At 33.5% G+C, this 27,656-nt stretch overlaps 1 protein-coding gene across 4 annotated transcripts in view; it reads left to right on the plus strand.

Moving 5' to 3' along the window:
* CDH7 (cadherin 7) overlaps nt 1–27,656 on the plus strand; it is a 140,086-nt gene that overhangs the window by 58,579 nt on the left and 53,851 nt on the right. For all 4 annotated transcript variants that reach the window (NM_033646.4, NM_001362438.2, NM_004361.5 and 1 more), the window contains exons 3-6: nt 874–1,168; nt 5,655–5,774; nt 13,251–13,418; nt 15,814–16,001. In NM_033646.4, the coding sequence (NP_387450.1) occupies nt 874–1,168; nt 5,655–5,774; nt 13,251–13,418; nt 15,814–16,001 (771 nt within the window). The remainder of the gene's footprint in view (nt 1–873; nt 1,169–5,654; nt 5,775–13,250; nt 13,419–15,813; nt 16,002–27,656) is intronic.

Here is a 27,656-nt window from a genome sequence, read left to right on the forward strand (position 1 = left end):
TGAAAGATTGTTGAAATGACGGATTGAGTAGCGCGTTTGTCAGGTTATGAAGTTCAGGGAAATGTGTAATTACGTGTGAGTTTCCTGAGGTTCCTCTGTTCAACATTATGTTCTGACATACAGCAGGGACAGTTCCAGATGTGAAATGCAAATCGGGAGGTGCTGCCCTGCTGCTGATGCTGTGCTTGATCATGCAAATCTAATGCAGTTCTGGGTATTTCAACAAAGCTTTTAGTTGAAGTCCCATGCATGTATTGATTTAAAATTCCTACTTGAGAGAGCAGTGTCATTTTTTTCAGCTCCAATTTTTAAAATACGGAACAGGACTTGGAGACAGATTTAGAGACTGGACATCCAGCCACACTCGTTAATCACAGAGTGTGAGTGGGGACAGGGCAGGGAGGAGGGAGAGAAGGGCACCCTTAAATAATATGGGGGTTTCTAAGCATATTAAATGGTATATTGGAACCAGATTTACAAATGTTCTATAGAAAGTTTCTTTGCTTAGAATAGATCAAATCAACCCATTATACATGTTTACTGAATGCCTGCTCTGTTCAAAGAAGATGGCTAAAACTGGCAAGGACAGATCAAATACAAAATAACACTACAACCAGTTCCCAACTTTGGGACTGATATAAAATACCTTTGGAAATGAGGCTGTTTACAGGAAGAAATGAAATTGTCTTGCTCACATGTACAAGCTGACACATTCTAATAGCCTTTCTGCTGTGCACAATAAGCGTTCAGCTTATCTTTCCAAGAACAATAAAATTTCATGTACTCCTGCCTGACATAAGAATTATTTTTACATATCTCCATATCACTGACTCTCTTGTAAGTTAATCTCATCTCACATGAATTTTTCACCAGCTTCACTCTGATGTTGATAAAGGAGATGGTTCCATCAAATACATCTTGTCAGGCGAAGGGGCAAGTTCCATTTTCATTATTGATGAGAACACTGGGGATATTCATGCCACCAAGAGACTGGATCGTGAGGAGCAGGCCTACTACACGCTCCGAGCTCAAGCGCTGGATAGGCTCACCAACAAACCCGTGGAGCCCGAGTCGGAGTTTGTCATCAAAATTCAGGATATCAACGACAATGAACCCAAATTTTTGGATGGCCCATACACGGCAGGAGTTCCCGAAATGTCTCCCGTGGGTAAGTAAAGAACACTCTGCTTTTGTAGCTTGTGGCCGATTTGGGGAGATTTGTATTTAAAATTAAATCATCATTAAGTACTGAAAAAAAAAAAAACCTTACTAGTATGTGTGTATTGATTGTCAGTTAGGGTGAGGGGAACATTTGAGACATGTTGGCAGCCAGTATCCATTAACTTAACTTATTAATTTATTTGTATGGAATATTAGGAAATTGTTTTTATACAGCTATTTCAGTGTTTTCAGGAAATTACTTCAATCTTACATTTTTTCAACTTGATATTTATTTATATTTTTAAATGATTACAGTGATGCCTCAGAAGTTAACAAACAGAATTCTTCCAGACACAGGCCAGTGATGATCTTTTACTTTTCTTTCCATGATATTAAGATATTGATTCATTGTTCTAAACATCTCTCTATGGCCAATGTATCAAGAAGGCCATCAATGGCTATCCAGGCTAATATTTGGATTAATATTTGGATTGGCTGTTCTGTTTAATTGTAATGAGTATGCTTGAACCTACAAATGGCCATACACATGCCACCACTAATTATTTTAAAATTTTAAGATCAGGGATACATGTGCAGGATGTGCAGGTTAGATAGGTAAATGTGTGCCATGGTGGTTTGCTGCATAGATTATCCCATCACCTAGTATTAAGCCCAGCATCACTAAGCTACTCTTCCTGATGCTCTTCCTCCTACCCCCAACCCTCCAACAGGCCCCAGTGTGTGTTGTTCCCTGACATGTGTCCATGCCACCGCTAATTTTAAAAAATTTCTCCAAAAACTTAAATGCATGGAAATTTGTAGTGAATTTATAGCAACGGTAAGGAGTTACCCATTTGGAGATATATATTTAAAACATGAAGGCTTTTTTATTCAAGGCCTTTTGTCATCGCGCCATTACTAGAAAGATACCCAGTAAAGCATTTCTAGTGTTTATATCGAATAATCAAAATTCTCTTTTAAATTTCATTTATTCAAGTACTTTTGGAATAGTTTACAGCAAGTATGTAATTTAAGCATAGGAAATCTTATAAAAAATACAAAGTTATTAGACTGGATGAGAGATGGGTTGATTATTATATATTTATTTCCTGCTGTTTTTAATATTGAGAGTTTATTTAAAATAATAATGGAACTTGTATTTTAACACATGGGTATTTTAACCCATGTGATTTATTAAAAAAAAAAAAAAGGTCATTTCATTCATCCAATCATGCAATCAACATACCTACGACACTGAGGAGTGGGGTTGCAAAGATGTGTATCATGTGTGCTCTTAAGGGGATCACAGTTTAGTGAACCTAAATTTCTGTTCCTATTAGAAGAGAGAGGGGAAATTATTTGGGTTACCACCATGGCTCTAGCTGCTAGAGAAATACCAAATGACAAGGAGACAGAAGAATCAATGCTTGTGGCCAGGAAGAATTTGAACCACAGTGGCATGATCTTACTATAATTAGCACATATGTAAGCATTGCTAGCATTTCTGTGACCAAACAGGTGTATTCACACTTCCTCACTACCGTCCACACCTTCCAAGTGCTTCCTGCTGCTCTTGCTTACCAACAAGAGCAGCAGCAACAGTAACTGTTACAAGATTTTAGAAAAAAGAAAGGGCACATTTTCCTCCCCAGATTAGTAACGTTTAGTAAAACAGGAATTTTCGAGATATGTTTGAGCAATTCAATTCAACTTCGTACTCCCAGATCTCATGGACATTTTGGTTGTTCTTCATTGGCTTGCTAAGGTTTTCCTTTCCTGCATAGAATATAGATATGTGAACTTTTTGTTTTAGAAGCTAATAGTGCACTGTTGTTTTGATTTTGATGGTACTCTGACATGAAACAGCATGAATATTATGCACACTTGAATAATGTATAAGTTAAATAAATTATATTATTTAAGTGTGCACAATAGTCATGCTGTTTCATATCACAGTACCTTTTCTTTTCTTTTCTTTTTTTTTTTTTTTTTTTGCGAGATGGAGTCTCACTCTGTTGACAGGCTAGAGTGCAGTGGTGTAATCTTGGCCTACTGCAACCTCCACCTCCCGAGTTCAAGCAATTCTCCTGCCTCAGCCTCCCGAGTAGCTGGGACTACAGGTGCGCACCACCACTCCCAGCTAATTTTTGTATTTTTACTAGAAATGGGGTTTCACCATGTTGGCCAGGATGGTCTCAATCTCTTGACCTTGTGATCTGCCCGACTCAGCCTCCCAAAGTGATGGGATTACAGGTGTGTACCTGGCCCATATCACAGTGCTTCAATAATTTATATTTAAGTTATATACTTGGCTGATTCAAATGGGTTTGGAATTTTCTTAGAGAATTATTTTCTGATGTCTTCAGGGTGTACTTGACACCAATTCAGACCACTAACTTAATATAAAAACTGGAACATAGAACATGGAATACCTAAACTACATAACATACGTTGTATGGGCTTACAGTTTATCAAACACTATAGTTAATCAAAGTGCTTAAGTCTAACCAAGTAAAATAGCCATCAAATAGTATGATATAGACCATGCAAGCTTTCAGTGTTTAATATTCAAGGATCATTTTTTATTGGATGTTAGCTAATCATAAAATTTTAAACACACTAGTAAGCCTTTAGGATACTTTATTTATTGCCAGAAGAACATAGACAGGTGTGGAAAGCTTAAATTTATTTGTGAATATGTGTGTGTATCTGGTGTGTGTGTCTATATGTGTTAAATGAGATAATGAACTTTTCAGAAAAAAATGTGTTATTGTACACAGCCAAACTTACTGAAGTTTAGTTTTTATTATTTGGTTTAAAATTGTTTGCTTTCTTTTAAAATGAAGTTGGAAAATAATGCTTAGGCATATTACCAAAATAAATATTGTAAAGATGATACATATAGAGGAAAGAGAGAACATCAATGTAATTTATTACAACTTTTTGAATATTCAAAATTTAATTCTTAAAAAGATTTAAAATATGCATTATTTACCATCTTGTCCCCACCAGACATCCACAGGGCACAATCATCTAAGTCCATAAAATAAAAAACTTCAGGCTGGGTGTGGTGGCTCACGCCTGGAATCCCAGCACTTTGGGAGGCCAAGGTGGGCAGATCATCTGAGGTCAGGAGTTCGAGACCAGCCTGACCAACATGGAGAAACCCTGTCTCTATTAAAAATACAAAATTAGCTGGGCATGGTGGCGCATGCCTGTAATCCCAGCTACTCAGGAGGCTGAGGCAGGAGAATCACTTGAACCTGCAAGGTGGAGGTTACGGTGAGCCAAGATTGTGCCATTGCACTCCAGCCTGGGCAAGAAGAGCAAAACTCCATCTGAAAATATAAAATAAAATAAAATAAAAACTTCAGGATTTAAAGAATAGTGCTGTACACTTAACTTTCATAATTTCCACGTAATTTTAAAGAAAATGGAATTGGCAATGAAATATATATAGAAAATAAAGTGGATTTATAGCAAAATGGGCATTAATGACTTGCTTAAGTCATTTTGAAAGAGATATTTACATAGAAATCAATCTAAAAATATGTTAGCTTTAAAATGTTGTATTCAGGAAATTATTTGTAACAAACTAGGACCTTAAATAACACATAAAGAAAGGGGCTTGTTCCATATTTAAAAGATAGCATATTTACTAAATAATAGTATATAACTAAATATATAAACTAAGTAAACATGAGTCTCTCTAATATTTTAAAGATTACATTCCAAATGGAAAAAAAGGAAAACAGATCAGAAGAAATGCTTTCCATATTGAATGTGTGAATATATAGTAAATGAAGAAAGAATATAACATTTCATCATATAACAAAGAAAAAACTATTGATGCAATTTTTAAAGTTTCCATGGCTTTCCTCTTTTACGAGGGGTTTGGTTTAAATTTTCATTTCCTGTTTTGTTTTTAGATCAATTGGCAGAGAAAATTAAAAACAAAATCCCAAGGAGATAGGGTAGCCACCTAATATACAGTTAGGTGCATCAAATATTCTTTGTCAATTAATGACATTTTGATTTCTATCTGGATCTTCTTAACTATGACAGTTGTATACCTGCAATTACTTGAGTGTCCAAGATGCTGTTGTCTTGCTGCTTTCTAGACAGTGATTGAGTCTTATAGAAGCTGCTCTTGATGAAAATATATTACCTGAGCCCAATGGATGAGACACCTAAAGTTTCAGTCCCATCCAATTCAGAGTATATCCCAGCCTAATGTGCATCATCGATGGTATTTTTTTTTTTGCCAGAATATTTTCTTATCCCTTAAACATTTCAAGAGTTTTATTAATATTTATGATCTCTTTGGGGCTGGTTTACTTAAAAAAATACTGTATCCATTTTTTTATGTGTCTTGAAAAAGATAAATGAAAATTTTCAAATAAGCTTAATGTGGAATCAGTAACATTTTGTACGTTTTTTGTTTTGTGGTATTTGGAAGTTTTTAATTCAGTGGTTTTGGGATTGGCATCTAGGGACCTCAGTGGTACAAGTGACAGCGACGGATGCTGATGATCCTACATATGGCAACAGTGCCAGAGTGGTCTACAGTATTCTGCAAGGACAGCCGTACTTCTCAGTGGAGCCAAAGACAGGTAAAAATTGAAATGTGACATTCTTGTAAAGTCATCATTTGTTTGCTGCTTAGAATTAATATTATTTCTAAATATAGTTGACACTAATAACATACCATTTTATTATGCTTCTCTCAATATGTCTACTTTGGTAAGCATGATATTATTGAGGATTTATCACCTTTTAAAAATATTTTATTTTATTCATCAGTATCTTAACAAAGTTAAAAATAATGCTATATATTCAAAAGTATTTCAGCTTCTATCTCCTGAATGCTTAAGAAAATTTCGATTCTTTACCTCAGAGCTTTACCTGTGTTTTGTTTTGTGTTTTCATTCACATGGGAAATTATACATGGTAATATTTATATCTCAAGTAGAAACCTCTCTGCCATGTAATATAATAGGTAGTACTTTCAGTTTATTCTTCCAGATGTTATTTTTCTCAGGGAAATTAGTTGAAACATAACAATTAGGGTGATGATCTGCCAAATCAAAAACTAAACTAAATATATATATTTTTTTAATTTGGGGGAACAATTTTTACTGAGTTGAAAAGTGGTATGGATAGAATATGTAGTTGGTTTGTTCTGTTTTGCTTTTATGTAAGCTGAAACTGTTTACATTAAGACTATAACATGGGACATTGTTATCTTGGTTATTAATTGATATTTTAATGTATTCAGTTTTTCTGGTCCTGTGTGTGTAGGGAAGGGCAGGTGGGTGCGAATATTAGCGGGTGTGTGTCACTGATTTTTTAAATCACTGTGAAAATCCACGTTTTCTCTTTTTAAAAATAATTTTGCCTTTATCATGGAGTTAGAATTATTCAAATATATACATTTATGATTATGAATAGTCATCAGTACCTGTAATCCTAAATGAATATTTTAATGCCATTGATCCTGTTTTCCATGTTTACCAAAAGGGCAATATTAATTTATTCTCAAATCACTGTGGGGATAAATGTTTTGAACACCTTTTGAGAATGACCGTTGTAATGTGCATGAACAGAGAAGTAAATTCAACCTTAGCTCATTCATTACAGCTTTCATAGAGATGGAATGCATATTTTACACCAGTGTAGTGATAGGGCTTGGAAACCACATGGAAATCTACAAAGGAAGAAGCAGTCATGATTAAGCAAGTATTAAAGGAGAAGTAAATGAAAGTATTTGATTTATGATATGAATCCTGTGAATGTGGAAAGCGTGCTTCTGTTTGACTGAATGATAGATCTGAGAAACCTAAATTCAAACACCCACCTCTTCCCTTCTATGCCTACTCTTGGCAACCTAAAAAGACATTGACAAGTTTCTGACAATATGCTCACAATCATACACTCCTGCCTTATATAACTTGTCCAAAAATAGCATGTATTAAGTCCAAGGATAAAATATTTTGCTGCTACTAATGATTGGCTTATGATTTTGGCTTTGCTGCAAAATAACAGGATTTCCCTATAACCCTATGGAGATAAAGCCATACCGGTTGATCAACTAGACAATGGTATATGTCTTAGGATTAGATTATTAATACTTCAAACCTGATTTTAATTTCAGAGTTGAAAGGATTGTGTGTTACAAGAGAAGAGGAAAGTTTAGTTTAGTTTTTTTTTTAATGCTGTAATTATGGTAATCGCTGGAACTTCTTTTTACATGGTCATGAATGCAGAGACATTCTGAGCATCTTTGTCCTCTCTGCTAATTTATAATATGTAGAGTACATTTCTTGTGAGAAAAAATAAATTGCATGTTTTTCTGACTGAAATGGAAAGTTTTCAGACCTAAAGGGCATGGGGAATTATAAATCAAGGTTCAGTTAGTCTTGTTAGTCTTCCTTTCCTGATGTCTGTCTGATTCATTTATATGTGAGAAATAACATTATTTCTCCTTTAAATCTAAGGGTTTTTTGGGAAGAAAGTAAAATTTTGACAGGAAAAATATTGAAATTATGCTAAATAAAAATTGCATAACCATAGGCACAGGCCATCACTGTTAGGTGCATTTTTATAAATTTCTTCTCAATTTCTAAGAAAATAACATGACTAAAATCTCAGAGCACAAATTTCATCTATAGCACTGTTTACAGGCTGAATGACCAGAGGGTAACTATATTTTCTGCGTCAATTTCTCCTTCCCCCAACCTAGAATGTGAGTAGTTGCAAAACCCAGTGTTGACAGTTGACTTTAACAAGCAAGGTAGCATGACACTGGAAACAAGGTAAAGCAACATTCCCTTGAAACTTCTCACCACCTAATTTCATAATGTCCCAAATTTACTAGGAGATTATGGACATTACATTTATTCCATTAAACATACTTAGGAGTATTCTAAGGTGTATCTGTTTATTTTGTAACCTGCAAGCAAACAGATACCTTTTTTGGATCTGTGTGATATATGGGAGGACTGGCTACCTAATTCGTAGCTTAAACTGAACATGCAGGTCCTTTGTTCTTAAATGATTAAGTTTAAATACATCATCAGCAAATCTTTAAACTGAGTACAGGGTCGGAATGACGGCATAGGTCATCTAGCCATGAAGCAAGCTCTGGAAAATGGATTGAGTGTTAAACATCATTTGTCATTTAGGAGTTCTTTTTTAGACATAAGAAGTATAACTACGTGGTGGCTGCATTATATGTTGTATGCATACCTATTACATCATAATTTTATATAAGAGGTATCGTCATAACAAGTGACCCCTTCCAACTACACCCTTCCTACACGCCCGGTTCTCATTCTATGCAAGAGTGCTGTCTCTTTTGAAAGCTTGCTGAGAACATCCCCTACAGGTTGCAAAAAGAATCCCCTCCTCAATGACTCTTCATTTGCTGCCAGCACTGGAATTCTTTGATGTTCCAGAAGCTTCCAACTTTACTACTTCACTGTTGTTGGTTCTTCTCTGTCTTTTTATAGCTCTCTCATATCTACACTAGAGATAGATAAGCCAAATAATACAGAGCTTAGGCACAAAATTTAGAAAGAAATAGAAACTCATTAGCAGATTTTTATCTTAAGTGTAAAACAAAATGAGCATCCAAAAACTTTTGTGATTTTGTTTTATAAATAGGTTCCCCCTCCCAAGAGTTTTCTCAGCTAATCAGTAACATAGTTTCTGTATAGCCAGGGCTGTGTATTTCTTTCATATTTGATTTACTGATAAATGTCTGTAATAAAAGTGCCATACTTGATTTTATTGCCTATTATATGAAATTCATTTATAATTTGCATTGCAGTATTTAAACTATTATCATCAAAGGATATTTTTAAAAATAGAAAGCAAGCCTGAAACATTTGTGCTCATTTCAGTTTCTAAGTTCCTTTGAAATTTAACTTTCAAGCATCATGAGTATTTTTTTAAATTTGAAACTTCTTTGTTCAGGATCTATTTCCTCATGCATCAGTGTCTACATTTGCAGGAAAGAGTGTTGCTTGACCCAATCTGTATTCATCTCTAAAATTCTACAAATATGTAACTCAAGACTTCACAATGTCTTGTGTTACAAATTGTACTCATAATAGAGTATTTTTAAAATATAATGCGGTATATTTATTTTCACAATGCAATTCAAGTCTCAAAGATACACACACCTAAGAATGTCTATACATCCCATTCTCCATTTCATTTCTAATTTACTTTTAGTTAACTTTGGATGCTATAAGGTTTTGAGTTTTTTCTTTTTTAATTTCAATGGTTATCAATATGTTACAGAATGAATTGGGTTTATTACAATTGGTGAATTGCTCCAACAGGAGCTCTTCAAGGGAAAGAAGATGGCAGTTAGGACTCAGAATAAGTTTACAAAAGTGATCATTGTTATCCAGTCAGAATGTGCATGGGGGAGTACTTCTCACCTATAACATAACAGGTGATCATATTGCATTAAAATATTCAATCGTGTCTTTAATAGCAAAACATCATATTGGAATTTTCTTCCTGAATATGTACTATATTTCTAAACATCATGTAACGTAACACTCATTGATATAATGTAAAACAGAATAAGCTAATATTGGTCACAAGTATCACTGAGATATTTTAAGTACTAAGAATACATATTGACAGAAACTGATTACATAAATACCTATTCAGTTCATTACCAGTTATATCTATTATTCTCATTCACTAGGGAATAATCACACAGAAATAATTATCTTTAAAGGAGTTACCAAGAGAGCTAACATGATATCCAATTAGTTCTTTAAAACAAAAGCAAAGCCAACAGCCAAACTACATGTATTTTAAATGATTTTTTTGCTGGTGCATCATTCTCCTGTCCATGTTTCAACAGTGCTCTCTTCATTGGCTGCTCCATTTTGGTGATGGCCATACCAAATGGCTTTAGTTCATTCATGGTCCTTATGAGGTAGGAGAGACCAGCAGGACTGATTTTCCGGTCACAACCTTGTTGACCAAAATAGGATCTGGTCCAGACAGGATAAAGTGAAAAAACTGGTAGGAACCAGCAGATGTCGACATAAGAGATCGCTAGCTGCCCTCATTGCTCATTGGCATAAGACACTCCCACCAGTGCCATGACAGTTTATAAATACTATGGCAACAACTTGGAAGTTACCACCTGTCTCCGTTGCAATGACCTGGAAGTTACTGCCCTCTTTCCTAGAAATTTCAAAATAATCTACCCCTCAATCTGCATTGACCCACTCCTCGATTTGCATGTAATTGAAATTGGGTTTACGTAAGTATAAATAAATTTGCCAAGAGACCATAGATTGCAGAGTTCGGGCACGCTGCCTGTGAGTTCGCACTGCTCCACAAAGAGCGGTACCATTTAATAAAAGTTGCTGTCCAAAACCACTGGATTACCTTTGAATTCTTTCTTGGGCAAAGCCAAGAACCTCCTGGACTAAGTCCCAATTTGTGGGCTTGCCTGTTTAGTATCACTTACCTCTTGATATATATTATTAAGTCCATAGAAGCTGTAAGGAAACCAGTATCTTTAATGTCTCATTGTATGGTTTTAGAATTCTTAGAATAGCTACAGACAAAAAAGGCTGTAATGGAGAGAGTGAGGATCGTGAAGGGCTTTGGGAGTTGGAAGTGCAGATGACCCAGATCCTGGTTACTGTGAGAAGGTACTTCCTCAGTTAACAGGATCCCTGAGAAAGCTGGTTTTGCAATATTGAGATTCCCCTTGGAATGGTAGTGCAGTCAAAGTGATATCCAAAAAAGTTTATTTAGTTTTAGTGAGAACAATCCTAAAGGGTTGAGCCCTCACAGCGTGAATCTCCCCAGCCCCTGGTTATTAATCCTTGGGTTCATGTGGTTGTCTAGGCTCCTGAGGGTAATTCGAAGCCTGAATATGCAGAACCCGTGTTCCTTTGCTTCCCTAAAGTGCGAAAGATTTCAGAAATGGCTATCGTCTGTTACATGAGGTACATATACCAAATTTTTAAGAAGATTCAATAGTAGCAGAATATGCTTTAAAAAAATCATCTGAGGCTGATAGGACATTAGATCATCAGATTTTTTTCCTATACTTAAAAACAGCTTTTGAACAATAGCAATATAAGTTTATATTTTACATGCACAATGCTTTTTATGAACATGGATTATAAATAAATGAAAAGTTCTGAGTTATGGTATCAGATGATATAGCTATAGAAAAATTATTCACAAAGCCTAAAATATGAGCCAGTGTCTTTTTCAAAGAGCCCATAGATAGATTTTTTTTTTGCTAAGCCTAAGTGACTTAAACAATTACTGATTATTATTAAGCATGAAAGTCTCACGGAGTTATAGGTATCCAATTGGTCAAGACTAGACTTTACTAGTTCAGTCATATGATATTAACAATTTTCTCTGTGTGTGTGTATTTATATACACAATTATATAATACATGACAAAACACAAATGAAATCCAATGTATGAGAATGCTTTTCCAAATTTAGACAGTTTTTACTTAAAAGTGAGCAAATGCCATACAAGTAGAAATCTATTATTAGTGGGTGTTCTTCTTTCAAGTCAACTTTTCCCAATTATATTATTCTTGTCAAAAATACGTTCAATAGTTGAGGAATTTGGAGATTACCTTTCCTACCTGCATTGATTTGCAAACTTTGTGATGATTTCTGCCTTGGAAAGGTGTTATTTATAGGCTCACTTATAAAAAGACAATTAGAAGTGTGAAAAATAAGTGAGAAACTTTGACTACCAGACTTCTATCTTAACGATGCTATATGTCCTTTCAAAAATCCACAAAGCAAACCCATGAGAGGATGAGGCTGCAGTGTTTCCTTTACTGATTAGTTGAGGGGTTATAGACTTCTCTCCATCACAATAAATGTGCACAGATGATAACACACATACTGATATTAGAAGGAAAAATGAGAGATGAGTCAAATTTAAAAAAATATATAAAAAATAATTGGGACTTCTTTTCTACAAATAACTCATTTTGTTCACATTTTTTCATATAAATGAAATATGTGTTGGTCATGTTCAAAATAAGCAATGCTCAATTTTTAAAAATGGGGTTACAGAAATAAAGATAATTAACAGCAAAAAATAACAAACAAACAAACAAAAAAAAAAACAAGAAAAGAAAAAGGTGGAGATATGTCCCAGAACTCTCACACAAAGATTGTTTATGTTTGGTGACAGTATTAGGGAAGTCAATATTTGCTTTGTTGTAAATTTAAGTTAATAGAAGTATTGAAAAGCAAACATGAAAAATCCATAAAATCATTATGGCTCTGAGAAGAGTATCTATATATTAGATACTTACCACCTGGACCTAATTTGTATATATTTTTTTCATTTTTATTATAATATTTCAAAGATCAATTATAAAATATGTAGACACACATAAGGATTCATTGAAGGTGTTACTTAAAGTGAGCCTGGATTGCCGTGACAATAGCATCCAACTACACTTAGTGTATTAGAATAAATGAGTAATGTCAAAAAATAAATAAGCAACGTGGACTTTTCAAGTAAGTGTAATTTGAATGCCTAAAATATAGATCTGTTGCAGATGTATGTGTGTGTTTGTGTTTGAGAGCTAGTGTGCTCAGATTTAAACAAAAATATTGTTGCTACAGATAGTAGGAATATTATTTAACTTGAAAACTGATAGTAAGTGGTTATGCATTTTTATAAGTTGTTGAGATGGAAGAAAAAGACAAGTTCATTGCTGCGTACTTGTACAGGTGACTGTCCATTATTCTAGGTAAAAGGCCATTTTATTTATTTATAAATTGTTATTTCCTTAACCACTTTTCCATGAAACCTAAAGATAATCCTCTTTATTCAGTATTGAGAAAACCACGTTAATAATGTTTTCTCTGTTTTGTAACATTGTGTAAAACTATCCTATTTCTTTGGTCTTTAATACACAGTAAAATTATTTAAAGTAAACAAAACAACAAAAGGCAACAACTCAAGAGGGACTTACTACTTGTATCAGTATTCTTTGTTAGTATAAATGCAGTGATTCATGATGAGTTTTACTGGGATTTGAAATTTTACAGGAGTCATCAAGACTGCCCTTCCAAACATGGATAGAGAGGCTAAAGACCAGTATTTGCTTGTCATTCAGGCAAAGGATATGGTTGGTCAAAATGGAGGACTGTCAGGAACTACATCAGTCACTGTGACCCTAACTGATGTCAACGATAATCCACCTCGCTTTCCTCGAAGTAAGTTGTTTTCTTAAGTGACACAAGTGCAATAACTTTCCCTGAAAGTCTATAAAATACATCTTTAAAATGACTTTTTTTCAAATACTTCTAAAGCAAATAATTGTCTTACTTCATTCTCTCAAATTTGCATTTTATTAGAGACATAATTTTGATTCAGGAATATGGATTATAAGGGTATTGAGAAGAAATAGAAGCCATCATATATTTGCATTACTTCTATCTTAAATATAGTAAGATTTTTCTTTCATTCACATTTTGAATACTAGACAATTATTAATTGTGTTTATGTATTAGTCTTTTTTCTAAGAATTACTCTTTTTATATTTTGTAAATTATAAAGTTGTTGCCAATTAATAATATTCAAATACATTTTATTCATTCTATGCACTAAAATATTGATTTATTTTTGAAAATTAAAAAAGAGTAATAAATGTTTTCATTTTATCATTTCACACTTTTTAAAGCCAGTTTATACACACTGAACATTCCTTTAGCAGTTCCCCCACGTCTTTCTTGTGCAAACATTCAGTGTTTTAAAAACCAATCTAAAGAACTAGAAAACCAAATGCCCTCAGTTCCACTTATTTGACCAAAGGGGCTTTTAACTTAACCAAGAAAAAAGAAAAAAAAAATTCTCTAGGTAGAGGTGTGCTGTTTGTAAAAAACGTTTCATCTCACTCTCTTTTTAGTTCCCTTTTTTTCCCTAAGTGTATGTGTTATTTCTTTAGAACACTCAAGAAAATAAAGAGATTGTACAGACCATAATGTCTGTACAATGTCTCTAAAATGCTTTTCCAGTAGAAATGGGGAACTAAACTCCCTACCAACAGAATTTAGAAGTGAATCATATCAAAAAACGAACCTTTCTGAGCAAATACAAGTGTCACTGTTTTTTCCTTCAATGACTGCTGCTTTAAAATTTTCCTCTTTATCTTACATATTTTTAATATTTATATTATTATACAAGAAATGGTATCTCCTGGTAATATAAAAAAGTGACCCCAGGTTTAGCATTATTTTCTTTCAATAAGCCTATTCTTAATTGTGATCTTGATGGCTTATCATGGAGAAGGAGGGACTTTTAGAATTAAAAAATGTAATAATGCAATTATCTTGGGCTTATAATGAAATGAACTGCTTTCCTTTTGTTTAAGCCTAGATTGATAAAATTATGTAGAATTTTAGTAGGATACAGGTTTTCTAGGCCATTATAGATCCCTTCAAACTTATTAAAGTGAAAAAAGCCAGGGATATACCATTGTTATTCATTTTTGCTGGGATTTTTCTCTACCGTTGAATCACTAGTTTAACCCTGACATTTTGGAATTTTATGAAGGACACTTTGAGATATGTGAAAGGGGTCACTCAAAAGTAATAGCATATGTTATAATCATTTAAAAAACAAACAGTAACTATTCACAAAGTCTAGAAAATTGCGAACAAGTCTCAGTCTAATACATCTTTCCATAATACAGACACATTTTCCTTTCTATATTCTTCTCAGAGAGAATCCTTTCTTATCCCTTCACAAGACAGGACAAATGCACCACAATTTAACAACCAAAGGAAACAGAAGTAGATGCAGGAGGCAGGAAAAAGTAAATAATTAGAGAAAAAATAATGAAGGAATATAGCATGCTGCGGTGTTTCGTCATTTCTGAGTGATGTAGTTCATGTATTTCTTCATCTGCCCCCAAACTTTTTCTTTAGTTTGAGGGATGGTGAAGAGGAGTTATTACAAAAGTTAAACCAAAAATTTTAGAAGTTATTTTTTTCTCTTTCACTTTTTTTTTTTTCAGTTCAACTAATATTGTCTAGGCTCCCAGACCATTGTGGCCCAAATCAGTTCTACATACAACCCACACAAATCATTCTTATCCTTTCTTATCCAGTTTTCTTACCCAGTTTTCTGAAACTCTCTCGGTAAAAATGCTAAGTAAATTCCAACATTAAGTTATGAAAATGATTTAGGCTTGTATTTGTCCATTTCAAGGCCAATCTATTCTATTTTTATTTCTTAGTATTTTACACATTATTGTAATTATGATATTGAATTACATTTACTAATTGTATATCAATTATAATTACTTTAAATTTATTTTTATTTTTCAGTGTAGGATATTTCTCACTGCCAGAAATACAGGAATTAGAGATTCTTCTCTTGCTTTTCCTCATCATCTATTTCTGCTATCACAGTGATTATTAACTAATCATTCCCATCATACCTCTTAAGGCTCTATGAAACTCATCTTTTGTTTTCCATTACCTTAGCATATATTTTATTAAAAAATAAAAAGAAGTTGTGCTACAATGATGCCAAAATAACCCAATATTTAAATTTTTATTGGTTAGTTTGGTGTAACGTGTTCATTTCTTGCTTTGAATTTCACAGGGTCTTATCAATATAACGTCCCAGAGTCATTACCTGTAGCCTCAGTTGTGGCCAGAATTAAAGCTGCTGATGCAGATATTGGAGCTAATGCTGAAATGGAGTACAAGATTGTGGATGGTGATGGTTTGGGCATTTTTAAGATTTCTGTTGACAAAGAAACCCAGGAAGGAATCATTACTATACAGAAGGTAATGTTTTCTTTATTTATCTTTTATCACAGATTACTGAGAAGTCCTTTCTGTTTGATGGGAGAATGTACTAGACAAACCGAATGGCCATATGGGACCATTACTATTTTAATTTTAGTAAGATAAGCTATACATTTAATTTTTGGTGTCAGACTCTTAGGGAACCTTGAGTTACATTTGTAATAACACCCATCAATTCTATTCTTTAAGAAACTCGCAGCCATTATCTATAGCACTATAAAAATAAAGCAAACTGGCAATGTGCTGTTTTAAAGACCTATTTGGAGAGATGAATATGTTTCTGCCTTGACTATTCCACTAATGAAACCCTAAATTCAACCAAAAGCCTGTGTATGCAAACAACAGATGCTATTATTTTCTCCATAAATGAAAATAATATGATTTCAAGTGGAAACCAAAATGTTGAAAACTTGCTACATTACCAATTATTGCCATTTAAAATTTATAGTAATTGGAAGACTTGCATATTTCGTACAAGAAAAGCATGAAAAGTTGTAAAACCTATCATACTTTCTACAGAGCGAGTGTGAAAGAGACAGAAAGTCAGTACAGCCCAAACTAAAGATTATTTTCCATAATATATTTAAATTAGCTCTCAACACAGTTATGGGAGAAAATGGACTCTTTACTCTCTTTTCAATTTAGAGATATGACTTTTTACAGATATTTAATCAAAAATAATAACTCAAAAGCTATTATTTCAAAACATAGTCTTAGTTTATCAACTATTTGAAACATTAAAAATATATCAATATCTTGACCCCTAAGATACGAAATTTTTTGTCAGTATGAAAATCCAGTGTATAACTTTGTAATTAATACTTTTCAATAATTAGCACATATCAATAAAAAAAGTGATATTTTATTTGTTATAGGAAAACATATGTTTGATTTCAGGCCAATGAGAAAAACATTTCTGCAATTATTTCCAGTGGACAGCTGCTGTTTTAGCTAAGCTGGTGACAATCTGTGTATAAAAGTTTTAATAACTAGAGTAGGCCAACTGTTGGTAAAATGTTTTGTTTTGTTGCCTAAATTAAAAGGAATTCAGTAAGGTACAATGCTGCTCAAAGATTTCAAAGAGTCATCTGAAATCAATCTGTTCACATTCAAGAATTTTTAATGCAAATTGAAAGTTTTTATTGAACAAATACCTATATTTTATATATTATAATGAAGGCAGCATGAATCTTTGAAAATTCTAAATTTAATATAAAATATTTGATTTAGTAAGGGAAAAGTAAAACTTGTTTTCTAATTTTATAATATCATTTCTGGAAATTTTAGAAAATTGCTAGAAAAAGAGACAAAAAAACCTAGATTAAAAATTATGTCATCTAAAAGCATAAAACTCATTAAAAAATTGCAAGGAGAAATTTGATTCTAACTTATAACAATAGAAAAACATCACAAATAATCATTATTATTCTTATAGGTATCAATATCTGTCAGGCTTTTCTTTTTGAGTAACTTAAAGGCTTTATTTTATTTTCTCAACAATCTCATGAAGCTATTATTAGGACCCTGAAAATATAGAAACATTATAAAATATTGAACAATGGAAGAAATGGTAAATAATTTATATTATCATATTAAGGAATTTTCATCCATCATTGTAGTAATGTGGAGATGTTGTTTTTGCAAATGAATATGGAAAATTTTTATTCAAAAATTATTAAAAGGCAGTATCCAAACTTTTACAAAGTCTTTCACATTTTATGAAAATTGTATTTATACAGAATAACAGATTATAAGAAAAATGTTAAAAATGTTAATAGTATCATTTCTAAATCTTACCTTCACTGCTTTTTCAATAATATGTAACATTCAGTAGTTATTGTTATAATTGAAATGTTGTTAAATATATAAAAGAGTTATTCAAAGGCCAAATGGAAATAAATATCATTAAAAAAATCTCATTAAAAACACTGTATAATCTACTTTGACTATTATTAGAGATCAAAATTATTTTACAAATACAGAAATAAGTCACAGAGATGGTTTTCAGTGGGTTCAAATTTCGTGTATTGTTGAAGTTCTTAAGTTTGTGTATTGTTGAAGGTATTAAAAAACGTAATATTCTATTTAATAAATTATGATTAAAAATGATTCCAAATTTTTAAACATTTAGATTAATAGAATTTTTGGTTTTGATACAGAGATTCCTTACTTCTGCCCAGAAATCTGAATGATGCTTTGAATCTAATAAAAATCAATCATTAGTTATTATTAAATATTTATTCATCAATCATTATATGAGAAGTTAGCTAAATATTTTAACAATTTTTTCACTGAATATGAGGTCAAAACTCCATTATTTTTAGTTGAGATTGTTAGCAACTAAAATTAAATTTTATTTTCTTAAATGACTTCTAATACATAAATACTTGTCTAATTCTTTGTTTTGTTATATAACATCAAAGATTATTTAGGAAAAATTAAGCACACACAATGTACAGGAGAATCTTAAGAATCAATGGTGGTGAAAAATTTCATAATATTACTTCTGTGTCATAAGTAGCCAAGGTAAATTTTAATATGTAACGAAAGAATTCTTGTTCATCCTGAATTACTATGGAGAACCAAACAGACTATCTAGCTATCAAAGGTCAAAAAAATAACATTTAGGTTAAATCCAGGGATTTTAAATACACCAGTAGACAGTTCAGATGTTGAATGCTAACATGATTTTCCATATCATTTTGAGCCTAAACACACTGTTTATATGAACAATAATTTAGACTAAGAAGTTAGTCATAGTTTATTACTCTTAAAGGGGATTGCGCAAACTTGCTTTCAGTTTTCTAATGTGCAAAGTAGATCTGATTTTTAAATTTTATCTTAATGTGGAGAATATATATACCATATTGAGGCAAAACCATTAGATTCTAAAAGTAAAATGATGTATAGCAACAGATGGCATGAACCTAAGCAGTATGGTCTGCAATTTTTATGTTCATTAATTCATCATGATAGGATGCATGGGTGTTAAGACGAGATATCTGAAATTTTGCTGTTTGAAATAGATAAAGATGTTTAAAAAATACCTATGGTGCTTTTATACAGTGCAGATAATATCAACATGGAAATAAATGAAAACAAAATCTCAGTTTTCCTCATGCTAAAAATCTTTAGGCTTAGCAAACATTACTTTTTTCTTTCTTCCTACCCTCCTCCTTCTCCACGTAGTTCTGAGTAGATACTAGATAGTGGGAAAATTAACTAGTATACAGGAGCTTAATTTTTATTTCCAAAGCTCCCTCCACCTCCAAACTAATTTTTAAAAATTTTACAAATTTTTATTATCTGTTAATATGTTCCAGTGTCCAAACAATCCTACTTTCTCATCCGTATTGGAATAAACAAACATAAACAAATAATTTATGTAAGAGTTGACTAAAAATAGTGGAAATGATACATTTGCGTTTTACTGCAGTTTAAGCTTACTAATTACGAAGGTTTTCTTTTCACTTGCAAAAATTGCTTATAGTGTTACACAGTTGATCCTTAAAAACCATGAGTTTTAACTGAGTGAGTCCACTTATATATGGATTTTTTTCTATAAATATATTACTCTTTTTGGAAATTTGTGACAATCTGAAAATACTCACAGATGACTTATGTAGCCTAGAGATCTTGAACATTTTGAGAAAAAATTGGTATGTATTAAATGCCTAAAATATATGAAGATATTAGACTGTTTATGTGTTAATAGAATAATTGTGTTATCAGTAAGGCTTCTGGTCAACAGTAGGATATTAGTAGTTAAGTTTTGAGCGATCCAAAGTTATACACAGATTTTTGGCTGTGTCGGTGGTGGTTCTCCTAACCCCTATGTTTTTCAGGGGTCAATTGTATATTCATCTCATTTTTAGATGAAAATTTACCATTAATTCATAATTTTCTTATTCTCAGCAATTATTTTATTAATTCATTGAAATATGTAATTCACAGTTTATGTGTAGCTTCTCTGCCTCTTACCCTGTACTTGGTTCCAGAATAATCCAGGGTTTGTCCTGTTATCCTCAAACATTGTTCATATTCTAACTCTTTCTATGAACTTCAAAGAACTATTGGATGCCTAGAATTGAGATCTCTTAAATTTGCTTTCAGTTTTCTAATGTGCAAAATAGATCTGATTTTTAAGTTTTATCTTAATGTGGAGAATATATTTACCATTCTGAGACAGAACCATTAGATTCTAAAAGTGAAATAATGTATAGCAACAGAAGGCATAAACCTAAGCAGTATGGTCTGTCATTTTTGTTTTGTTTTGTTTTGTTTTGAGATGGGGTCTCGCTTTGTCGCCCAGGCTGGAGTGCAGTGGTGTCATCTGGGCTCACTGCAAGCTCCGCCTCCCGGGTTCACGCCATTCTCCTGCCTCATCCTCCTGAGCAGCTGGGACCACAGGCGCCCGCCACTACTCCTGGCTAATTTTTGTATTTTTAGTAGAGACGGGGTTTCACCGTGTTAGCCAGGATGGTCTCGATCTCCTGAACTTGTGATCCGCCCGCCTGGTCTGTAAAATTTTTATGATCATTAACTCATCAGGATAGGATACATGTGTATTAAGATGAGATATCTGAAACGTTGCTGTTTGAAATAGGTAAAATTAAAAAAAAAAAAAAAACTTGTGGTGCTTCAGACTCATATTTGCCAGATATGTATTTCACTGTTCCTCAGTTTCACTCAACAATCTAGAGCAGTCACTAAACTACTTGTAATTCCTGGAGAGCAACGTAAAGTTTTTTCCAGTTCTTCAAACCTCCCCCTGCCTGTTGACTCCCCTGCACTCTGCTTTCGTGCCCCCTTACCATACTCATCTTTTGAGTCTAAAAAATCCCTCCTATTTTTCCTTTAAACAATAAACAGAAGAAGCACAGCGCCTGTACCAGCAAGATGCATTTTTTTTCAAGGAAGGGAGTGTGTGTGTGTGTGTGTGTGTGTGTGTGTGTGTGTGTGTGTATTCAATCATGGGAACTGGTCTAATCATGGAATGTAGATGTCCCAGTTCCATAAATATTCTGATTTTTTTCATAGACTTAGCTGTGGCCACAAGGATTGAATAAATATCCAAGGCTCTGTAGAAGTGTCCAGGAGAGCTCAGGCCCCATCTGTCAGCCAACTGGTCAGTCCTACCAGGGCTTTCAAAGATTTGAACATGCCCTGGGGAAGAAGTTGAATAGTGGATTCATAACAATGTTTTTCTCAGGTAGACAAGAGAAAGTGGCACAGAGGTAATCACCTGTGCAGAGACTTCACTTATGAGATAACCTGCTAAATACAGAAAGAACCGGGGCAATTTCTTTGGAGGATAATGAGGAAGGGAATGTGGGCAACAGATGAGGTAATGTAAATGAGAGGGCTCTTAATGCTCCTTCACAAAACTGCTGTTGGTAAATAGGAATATATATGTACAGTGCTTTGCAAATAGAGTGGATTACACATAATACATATTGTAAGGCATTTTAGGTGCAGCTCAATAAAATATGAGTAGAAAATTAAAATATTTGCTTATTTCTCTTGAACACTTATTCATGGAAGTGCCTGTGATAACTTTAATTCATTTCAAGTCTTTCACTTCTTTTCAAAGGACTGTATTACAATGAATATCAATATTTATTCAAATTGTTATTACTTTCCTGGTTATAAATACATTTCCTTCCTCCCTTCCTTCCTTTCTTCCTCCCTTCCTTCCTTCTTTCCTTCCTCTCTCTCTCCTTCCTTCCCTCTCTCCTTCCCTCCCCCCTTCCCTTTCCTTCCCTTCCCTTCGCTTCCCCTTCCCTTCCTTCTTTCCTGTCTTTCTCTCTCTCTCTTCCTTTCCTTTCCTTTCTTTTCCTTCTCTTTCTTTCTTTTTCTTCTTTCTCTCTCTCTCTTTCTTTCTTTCTTTCTTCCTCTTTCTTTTCTCTCTCTCTTTTCTTATTCTTTCTTAGCCTTGAGGTCATTTTAAGTTTTTTTCCTTGCCTCTTCCTGTCATGATAGCTCTTGGCTGTTTATTTTCCCTTTGACATTATCCTAAGCTTAGTGATCGTTGCTTCACCTCTAAGTTATTTTTATGTCCCCCACACCTAGCTCATAGCCTGCGTCTAGCTTCTTCATTTTTAAATACATCTTTTTAAAAAATTGCTGTTTAAAACTCAAAACTATATATTTTTATTATTCCAGCTAGTCTTAAAAGAATCTACCTTACACTCAGGGAATAAGACAGAATAATACCAGCAATTCAAAGGAAGCAGTGAAATAATTATGATAGAATGATGATATTATATACTTAGAAATTATAAAATAATTTATTACAATTTTGTCAAATTAATGAGAACTTTCATTAATGAGAGCTACAAAACAAGTTAAAAATCAATACTTTCCCTATATGTACTTCATGAGAACATTGGTGTGAGTTTCTGGGCTTAATCTAACCATGGAAGAGCAACCTGTGAGTACCTATGTAAGGAATATCCATCACTCTCATTCACATCCCTGAAACCTTCCATCTTAAAAGAACGCGATCTGCTGGCCCAACAAAGGCAGGCTTTACCGCCAAATCCAAGTGTCTTTCCATCATGAGGTCAAAAGTATCTCTATACTCAATTTCAGAAGAAAATATTTGCTTACCATTTTGTAACTAGAGTTTATTTGGAGTTGTTTTCCCAGAATCAAGGAAGTCTTGTTCTTAAGATTTCCTCAGTCTGAACTAACAGTTTACTGTTTGTGGCCCTAACAAAACAGGATTTTGATTTTCAGTTCTACTTACCAAGATTTCAATAAACATGGAGCCTACATTATACCCTAGATAAAACTTTTCCAGGGAGCTTTCACAGCAACAGGAATCTGCAGAACAATAAATGAGTCCCCTAATTTCCATATTCTTTCCCTACCAGAAAGTAGTGGCATTGTCTGTGAAATTTAGAATGGATTTTTGAATCCGAGTTGGAAGACTAAAAGCCAGAAATTCTGAAGAAAAAAAAAAAAGATAAATTTGGCCTCCTTTTATTACCCCAGAGTATTTTAAAAATTATACCGAGATAAACAATGGAATGCTATGGACAGTCCACCAAAACGAACAGTTTTTTGGTTGGTCTCCCAGTCCCTTCTCCGCATAAGAAAACATTTACAACCAGACATTGCTCAGATGTTGACAAGATTTTTGTTAAAGTCATAAATGTATTTGTTCTGGTGGTTCTGAATGTCTACATATTACTTCACATTTGGACAATAAAGCTTTAATGTCCATCTGGATAGAGTCATTTCTATTGTAATGAGATTATTTTCTACCTGCGGACTGTGCTTGATAATCATCTGAATTTATTTTCTCTCTATACTATAATAAAACTTTGGTCCATATCCTTTTCATAAATAATGTACTATTATATTATATGTATAATAAGATGTATTCCAGTTTGTGAAAATTATCATTGTATTTTGCTACATTTGAATGTATTATACTTGGCATAGAATTCTTTTAGAATCAGGAAGAGAAAAGCAGAAAAAAATCCTTTTTAAAATATATATTTGAAAAAAGAATAAATAGAGAAAATGAAAAAATGCTGTTGGTTATTCTATTACTGTTCCAATATCTTATACAGAAAATGTTTATTAATATGACAAAATATGCAGAATCCACAAGGCTAAAGATTGCTGTAAATAATGGCATAGAGTTTTTATGATTTAATCACTCTTATACTTTAAGAATAAACCTGATTATATAGTTTAAATATAAAAATGATGATGAAATTTTCATCTTAAACAGTTAAAGCAATGCAAATGCTATTCCTTGACCATTTATGAATGTTTCTATGATAACCTTTATAACCAGTTAAATAGGATTTCAAAATTTACAAAGAGTAAACATAAAGATTATCACATTTGAGTGAATATAGTTTTTGTTTCACCTAGAATTCTTTCTTTTTACATTTGCTATCATAACTTAAAATTAGGCACTTTAGTCTTTTTTAATTTTTTTCTTTAATATATGGAAGTCTTTCCTCTAATGTACCTCAGTTTTCAATATAAGTCTTCAGTTGTGATTAAATATGGAATTTTTTTCTATAAAATGCATTACTATGGAGTTACTATAGAGTAAAAAAAATGAGCATTTTCAAAATTAATTCCCTATGAAAGATAACTATGCATCCGGTATCTGACATGTGATTTATTTGGTGGTCCACTTTGTCACACTATGAAGACATTTAGGCTTTTAAAGGCTAATTTTGCTGTGCTAGATTCAAAATATGCTCATATCCATACCCTATGAAAGGCTGAATGAAGTCAAAATAATACAGCATTATGTGGAGGTGTTAATAATGCTGTCTACCTGCCATTCACTGCCCTAAGTTAGATAGCACAGTGGCCTTCCAGCCTTCAACTCAAGCTGCACAGATGTGGACTACCTGGGGTTTACTGTCTTGTACTGAAATGTGTCTTTTGCCTATTACTTGTAATATTGAGGTCTAATTTCTACAATCAAATATGTATTTCATTTAGTATTTCATAAATGTTGCTGATATGTGGTGAGAGAGAATCAAACCAAGGTTAATGCCAATTTATTTTTCTTCCTCTCATTAATTGTTTTCTTTCAAACATTTTATTCAATTAATCCTGCTGCTCAGGATGCATATTTCTTAAAATTGAGCAATGACATTGCTCTCATTTGACTGTAAAAAGGCATAAATTTTGGATTATTTTAGTTTTAAGGGCCGAGATAATTTGGTGAGCTTCTGAACTTCAGATTATATTTTCCACTTAATTCAATCATTGTTACTATGTATATAAGTATATACTAGCATACTTTAATCATTATGTGTATGTGTTTGTGTATATAGGCTTATTATCTGCTTATTAAGGTATAAATTTACCTGTGCTTGAGTAGTCAAGAGTAGAGATGAACATAGAGTTTTATAAAAAGATAAGAAATTAACATTCTTTGAAGAAAATGATACTAATTTACATGTCGACATGTTTGACCTGATCAAAAGGCACTGACTTTGTTCACTTAGGATTATTTCAGCTTTTGTTGATTTTGTTCACTTAAGAGTATTTCAGCTTCTGTTTGATTTTTTAAAATTTTGATAGTGATTATAGCAGTATTCTCAGAATATGTGTATATCAAAGATGTTTTCCAGTGAGTCCATTATGGAATTTATTTTGCTGAGTACAAGTCACAGATCATGTAAAATTGTCCTTCCTTTCCCCCCTGCCCTCCCACGGCGTGTTGATTCCTAGGTCAATTTCGGTGGGTAGGATTCCAAGAAAGAGATATTTAAGAAATAGATAGGAGAGAATTTAATAATTGTATAAGGAAGGTTAAAAGGAGAATTTAAAGACATAGCCAGTATTTCTAGTTTGTGTAACTAGCTGAATACTTGCATTGTTCTTTGAGAATGGAATGGAGATGTGTAGGATGGCTTGGAACAAGTGATGTTTGGTGCACTGTAATAGCAAGGTAAATATGTCTAAGAAGTCATGAATATAGGTCTGTAGTTCAAGGAAAAGCTCTATAGTACATTCTTATGTCTAGGAGTTATATGCACATGCATGGCAATCAAAGAGACCATTGATAACATCCATGGAGGGCACAAATGAAATGATGAAAAGAAGGCTTTAGACATTTCTTGGTGAAACTGAACAATTTAAGTTAGCATGGCAAAGAAAGACTCAGAGAAGGCAAACTGTTTTATTCTTCCAGAATTAAGATATTTTAAGACGGGTTAAAAATAACTTATCAAAAAGACTAACAAACAAAGTTTTATATTTAGATGAATAGAAGAAATTGCATATGTTATCAATAGAAGAGAGAATTGATGGATCCTGACATCTATGATACGTAGTAATGATGGGACATAACAGATAAGGCAAAGATTAGAATAGTCAAGGAACTGGAGCTCTTGCTGAGTTCAAAGAAATTCCCATGTCGAGATCTGACTTCTTCCCGACTGTTTAATTTGGCCATTTCAAGTTTATTTTGGTTCATTTTATCTGGATATGCTGCCATCACCTGACAAAAACTGGTCACCAACTCTCATTCTCTTTCTATCTGTGGTTGTATCAACTACCTTATTTCTTAATAAATCATCCCCAAACCTGGTGCTTTAATTTCCTTAGCTCATGATTTTGTGGGTCAGTAATTTGGCCTGGGCTCAGTAGGATATTTTTATGCTGATCTTAAGTGGGCTCACACATGCATCAGCTATTGGTCAGCATGGTGGCTCTGCCTCTATGGAGGTGGCTGGCTGTCTGCCTGGAAAACAAGGGGCCTGGACCTCTGCCTCCCATCATCCCATGGGCTACCTGGGCTGGTTCCAAGAATGGTAAGAACAGAGGTTGTATGGTCTTTTGAGGCTGTTTGACAGAATTGACATGTCATCATTTCTGCCACATTGTATTGACCCAAGCAAGACACAGGACAACCTAGATTCAGGTAGTGAAGGGAAAAAAGCATCCCTGAGAAGAAAGAAGCAATAAAGTATTGTGGACACAGGGAAAGTGGGAAAAATATGTTGAGTTCCAGCGCTGCTCCAGAGAGACTAACTAACCTTCAGGTTATACTTCATGAAATGGCCAAGGAAATACTGAATCTCAGTTCTGCCCACTTCCCTCATCATCCTTTCTCCTCTATTAGCCTATCTCATAAAATCATTTTATTGATCAAGGTCAGTTAAGATTTGCCACTGTTTGATGAAGCGTTCCAGGAAAACATATGCTAAGTTGTCTTCAGGTCATAATGTGGATTCTGCTTCCCAGACAATGTATGAAACCCTCTAGAAGTTATTGGGTACAGCTATAGTGCATGCTGGAAAATGTTGACCTCAGCGTAGTAAGGGAATTGGCCTGAGCTGTAAGGTAAACCAGGTTTTAGATGCTGGGCAGAAATGCAGTCCTTTCCAAGGCTTGTTTTCTACTTTATGCTTATAAAATCAAAACAGACTACCTAAGTTCAGAGTAGGAGGCTGTGGTAGACACAATAATGCCTCCTCCTCAAAAAGATATTCACAGAATATGTGAACGTTTTACCTTATGTGGTAAAGTGAATTTTGGAAACGTGATTAAGTTACGGAGCTTAATGGGAACATTATCCTGGATCACATAATTGGGTGCAGTATAATCACAAGGCTCCTTAAAGAGGAAAGAAGGATGAGTCAGTGTTATAAAAAAGAGATACAGTAACGGAACCCAAGCTTGGAGTGATGCACTTTGAAGATGGAGGAGGAGGCTATGAGCCAAGAATACATGCAGCTTTTGGACACTGGAACAATTCTTCCCCGAAGCCTCCAGAAAGAATGAAGCTCTGCCAACACCTTGATTTTAGACTTCTGACCTCCAAAACTATAAAGCAACAAATTTCTTTTTTAAGCCACTAAGATTTTGGTAATTTGTTACTGTAGCAGTATGAAATTAATTAATGCAGAAGTCAAAATGGAACATTTCTATGGGGGCGAAAGCTGATCCAGACAGGAGAACAGAAGAGAGAAAGGAAGACACTCGTTAACTAAGTATGAATAAGAATCTGGATAGGCAGAGCCTATTTTAAACTGTGCTAAGTTTAAAATAATACGTGATGGCTGTGGTTACTTTGATGATAATATTCCTCAATATTAACTTGTGTTACTAGATGATGAAAATAATATCTCCTGATATGTA

This window comes from Homo sapiens, chromosome 18 (genome assembly GCF_000001405.40).
Source record: "Homo sapiens chromosome 18, GRCh38.p14 Primary Assembly".
NCBI lineage: Eukaryota > Metazoa > Chordata > Mammalia > Primates > Hominidae > Homo > Homo sapiens.